This window comes from Homo sapiens, chromosome 9 (assembly GCF_000001405.40).
Source record: "Homo sapiens chromosome 9, GRCh38.p14 Primary Assembly".
Taxonomy (NCBI): Eukaryota; Metazoa; Chordata; class Mammalia; order Primates; family Hominidae; genus Homo; species Homo sapiens.
In genome coordinates, this window is record NC_000009.12 from 101,435,849 (window position 1) to 101,441,853 (window position 6,005).

The window sequence follows — 6,005 nt, forward strand, 5'->3', positions numbered from 1 at the left end:
TCTACCTTGACCTAGTAGGGAGGTGTTTATTCAACACCTCTGATTGGCTCATAAACAACCAGTCCTTAAAATCATGCCCATATACTCCTTATGCTCATAGAATGTTAAAGCTGCAAGGAATGTCTTTAGACCGTGGAGTTCCTAATCCAGACCCTCCATTTCACAGATGAGGAAACTAAGGCAAGGAAGATAAGGAGGTTCCCTTAAGTCATACAGCTAGTCAATGATGGAGCTCTAGGGTCCATTAAATGATACTAGGAAGAATGTTAGTGTAGCTGTAACACTTACAAAACACATGAACTTGGTGACGGGTTTTTGGTTTTGTTTTTTACTTGTCTGAGCCGTTATTTTCTTCTCTGTAAAGTGGGATCTCAATTTCACAGGAGCATTAAGTGAGTTGTATAGTGTCTGTACGCAGTAGGCATTCAAGAATTATTATTTCCAAATTAGGTAATCAATGCTATATTTTCATTATTTATCTTCAGTATATCATTAGTAGTCAATTCCAACAATTTATTCTATAATTTATAGTTAAATTTAAATAATCTTTCAATAAAAGAAATTGATTCTGAATCCTTGAATTTCCCATGTGTGAATTTTGTCCAAATTGGAAATAAAATTCAAAACATTCTGTTTTTAAAAATCATTGTCTCTCCCATCTTCTCCAGTCCTCCAAAACCTAGCTGGGCTTTCTGATGTATTTAATGCCAGAAATCATTGTTTTGTATTCCCATTCTCTTTTAACCTTTGTACTTTTGTCTTCAAATTTGGTTAAAAACTAGAATTAAAGTGATTGAACTAAGCCATCAACACCCCTAAATATGGTACTGTCTGGGTATGGGTTCATTCTGCAGGGCTTTTTCCTAAGTATGAAACCCAAATTTAATTCCAGAAAAGGTAAATAAAAATATTATATGCTTCCAGAGGCAAATGATGAATGAGGCAAATAAATGAGGGAAATCTAAAAGTGATGGAATGACCGTAATTACAAAAAAGGGTAAATTCTCATGAACATGTTCCTCTGGAATAATTCATAAAATGGAAAACAAAACTAAGATGCTTGATTGTGCAGAGTGTAACACCAGAATTTATGGATGAAAAGGTGAAATGTCAACAAAATGAAGGAAAAAATAAACGGAACTAGGTGATCTAAAAAGAGTTTTGGTTTAGTTTTGGTTGTTTTTCCTAGATCAGAGACTCACAAGGGCCTCATTCAGGTAACACAAGTAACTGGCAATCAATCTTGGGCATTTTGCCACCTCTCAAAAAGCCAGGAAAGGTGTGAATGAGCATTTATACTTAGAGAGAGGAAAACAAGCATTTCCCTCCAAGCAGAGCCATCATGTTTTCAGCCACCATCAAGTTTTTCCTGAAAACAAAGGCTTCTGAGAACAGTAAGTATTCATCACTGAATGTGAATATTGAAGGAAATTGAAGTATTTGAAACACAATATTGAGGCTCATTTGGCTAGGGAAGTTCCCACCAAGCCCTGTCCTGAGGATAGTAGAGGGATAGACCAGGGAAAGGTCCTATCAGCTCCCTTGACTCCACTTAGTATCTGATGGCACATTTCCTGGTTTCCCCATCTTCAACTGGGCTCATTGAAGCACCTGCTACCATATTTGTCAGACCAATGTGACCAGCTTTGGGGCTATGTGAGGTTTCATCCTCTATGATTTTTGGTAAAGGAGAATGGAGGAACAAGAGGTGGATGGTGATGAAAGAATAGAGAGTGGGTGTAATGAAAGTTGTTAGGAGTCAGGGCTGGGGTAGTCAGAACCATAGCTAAAACATTCTACCTGCTGAGAGATGCTACTAGTACTAATTATTCTTGTTATACAACAATAATAGCTATCCTTTTTTTGAGAGTCTATGATGTACCTGGTTCTTTTCATAAATTATCTCCAATATCAGCGACTCTCTGAAGAAACGCTTATTACCCCCATTTTATGCATAACAAAACTCTGGTTCAGAGAGGGCAAGTAACTTGTCTAGAGTCACAGTACAGGTAGCTGGAGAGTTTGTCTCATTCCAAGACAGTGATCTAAAGCAGAGCTGCTTACATTTTGGTAACTGCAGACTCATAAATTAGCTCTTTCCCTATTGCCTTCTCAGCAGTTTATAACCTTGGACATTAAACTTTCATTAATCAGGGAGGAATGACTTGCGTCAGCAGACGTAGGTGTCCTTGGTGAGCTGGGCATGGCTCCATGTGAACAACAGCCTGGCTAGGAATGTCAGAACAGCATGAGTACTCCTGCCCTGAGTGCTGCCACTTGCTGCTGTTCTTGTAGCATCAGCATTTGCCCACCTCTGGGGCTTGATGTGCAACTGAAACTCAAAGTTCAGGAAAACAAAGCTAAGGGCTTACTGGACCTTAGAGAAACAGCAACTCTTGACCAACATACACTGCTTGCAGGGTTTTTGTTTTTATTTTTATTTTTGTTAAGTCTCCTAACACAATACAATGTTCAAAATTGAGTATTATATGTGGAAACAGCATTGGACTTGGAGGCTGTGAAACACTGGGAAGTTCTTCAACCTTAGTCCACAGTTTCCCCATCTGTAAAATGAACTAGGAATGCCTCTATCAGAAATGTATTATGAAGCATGAATGAAATAATATATGAGTGGCACTTTGTACAGAATAGGTTTTCATTAAATAGCTAGATCTGAATGCATAACTGGTTTAGAGGCCTTTGATTGTAGGATCTTAAAATAGGCAATGTAACAACAATACTATTCATGATCGTTACAGTCAATACTTCTAACAACAGCCTCGCTTATTCTCTACTCCCTGCCCAACTCTAGATATTTCTTCTGGTTTGAATGTGATATCTATATAAGTCAATCCACAGGCCATGAGATAAATGTGTTATTAATGCATAACATGAGGTCTGAGTCATAAGCAAACTTCTACATGCAAATAAATCTCACATATTATAGAGTTACACTTACTGTAGAATTAGCAATATTATAGAGAAAGAACTTTCATAAAAAGAGACCACATTACACAATGCAACTGGAAGAATCACGATTGGCATTTTAAAATATATTTTCCAAACTGTGGTACAGATATTTCCTTATCATATTGCAATCTGCTTTGGTGGTTGGAATAGTTTCAGGACCCCAAAATCAGTAGTTATTACTTTGGTCTAGAGATAGAGCTATGTTTTCTCAGCATGGCTCTCAAAAGTGTTTTGCTGTTATGTGTATAAGGCATTTTGTTAGCTATGGAGACTTTTTAGAGGATACGAGGTGAGTAAGACTGGCCTATTCTCAAGAAACCTGCATTCTAAAAGGAAGAGAAGATTGAAGTTGAGAATCAAATAAAATCAAACCAAATACAAGAATGTACATAAAAACACCAAGAGATTGTTGTTGTTGTTGCTGCTGTTGTCACTGCAGCATTTATGGATGACTGTGTGAAGTAACATTAAAGAAAAGTCCTATGAAAAGCCCAAATATTCGAGATTTTTTACAAGGCCAAGTCAATTGATTCAATCTGTCAGACTGTAAGACCTAGGGGGGTAGGGGGTAGTAATGTCTTACCAATGTTTCCTCATTATCCAGCACTATGCCTAGACACCAATCAACTTTTGTGGAATAAATGAATCAATAGATATATGAGTATCAATATAGGTGTATATTAGTATCAATCTCAGAAAAGTCTAGAGTAACTGGCTTATAATTCTCATCCCAGAGAACTTTGAAATAAATAATAAGTAGAGTATGAACATTCCTTTCTTCTAAAACTATACTAGGTTCTGAAAACTCTTCTATCATTGCTCATTTGGAATTTCACAGGAATCCAGGCTGTAGTGCCTTGCAATGGTACACAAGAACCACAGCCTCCCTACTTTCAGTAAATTCTGGTACAACACACATAACACAAAATTTACCATCTTAGCCATTTTTAAGTGTTCAGATTAGTAGCATTAAGTGTATTCACATTGTTGGGCAACCAATCTTCAGAACTCTTTTCATCTTGCAAAATTAAAACTCTATACCATTAAACAACAACTCTCCATTCATCCTCCCCACCACCCCCTAGCAACCACCATTCTGCTTTCTGTCTCTATCAATTTGACTACACTATGTACCTCACGTAAGTGAAATCATAGAGTTGTTGTCTTTTTGTGTCTGGCTTATTTCACTTGGTACAATGTCCTCAAGTTTCATCCACATTGTAGTGTGTGTCAGAATTTCCTTCCTTTTTAAAGCTGAATAATATTCCATTGTATGCTGCATTTTGTTTATCCATTCGTCTGTTGATAGACACTCGGGTTGCTTCTACCTTTTGGCTATTGTGAATAATGCTGCTATGAACATGGGTGTACAAATATCTTTATTTAGACTCTGCTTTCAATTCTTTTACGGTTTTATTGAGATAGAATTCACATAGATACAATTCACCCACTTAAAATGTACACTCCAATGGTTTTTTTAGTCTGTTCATAGAATCAGAGTATTAGATGTCAGTTTGTGAGAGAGATGTGGTAGGTTTTTAAGATGCTCCAAATCTGACGGTATAAATAGTTTTAAAGCACCACCATGAAGTCCAGGAGCAACAGCCACTGGGGTGCAGCAGATATGAGAATGAAAGAGTCATGGGTCCCATTTCATTTCCTTGTGGTAATTTTTTTAGATGCTCTTCATCACTAAGAAATCTGAACTCTGTGTATTCTAGGAACACTAGAGTGCCTTGTATATTCAAGTATCCAGGGTAAGTAAATTCAATAGTATCCAAATTGTGGGGCTTAAAAATACCCCTTTGACTAAAGAGTAAAGCTGATGCTTGAAGTATGTTGAAGAACTGGAGGATTTCCTTGTCTGAGGAAATATGGACATGCAGTTAGGATGTTGCAGAGGCAGAGTGAACAGGAAATAATTTCACACTCAGTGACGAGTATTTAGCTGACAGGAAAGAGTTACACAGTGGTCTGAAGTGTCCACCAACCCCCATTTCTCCATATGTCTTTGAATTGGGTTGTTAACTGCCTTGTCAGTGTTTTCTCTTTGTCTTTTGCTCAATCATCTCAAAGTTCAGTTTTTCCCTATCTAATCAGGTTGTTAATTACCTAGGTCATTTATGACCCCCAGCACAGTATTTATTTCACTCTTCCTTATAACAACTTTTCAGAAACTCTTTCATAAAACTTTCATAAAACTCTTTGGCATTAAGGTGAGATGGCCTTTTGCTAGGGTGGAAAAATCTCTAGATAAGGAGGCATGAGGTATGTGGGTGCTGAGTCCAGTTCTGCTGTTGACTGGCCATGGAGCTGAACAAAGTCAGCTTTTCCCAGCCTCCCTTCTCTAACGTGTAAAGTGGCCTGATAATACCACTACTGCCTAATTTTACTGTGTTGTTGCGGTGATCAAACGATATCATGTAAATTAGTGCTCTGAAAACTACGAAGACCTACATAAGTGTAAAATATTATAAAGCGAGCATTACACAGCTGATGCCTGTGTGTGCACATACACATGCACACACACACACACACACACGCATGCACACACAAGTTTGAGAATCAGAAAACAAGGTTTTGGCCCTAGCTTTGCCTTGATGACATTGCCCACTGGAGCGTATTCCCATTAGTTGAGCACGTACTATTAGGGAGACTTTTCTGGGCTCTAGAATGTGTCATTTAATCTCCACTACCTCAGCAGCATAGGCATTGTTTTGGAAAGGGGGGAGATGATCTGGTATCTTCCCCAAGGTCCCACCATTAGTAAGCAGCAGTGTAGGGACTGAAACACAGATCTATGACTCTTAAGCCAACCAGGGCTTTGAATTCTTATCTATACAGCAAAATGGGGGTCTCTTCTAGCTGTGCTATTCTGTGGTCTTTGCTGCCCAAATTGCGTGTTTTTGAGATATATGGTTACTCTAGAAAAAAGAAAATAATTTTAAACAGTAATATAATAAATATAGATTAGAAGATAAAATGTTTTCAGGCCAGGCACTGTGGCTCATGCCTGTAATCCCAGCCGTTTGGGA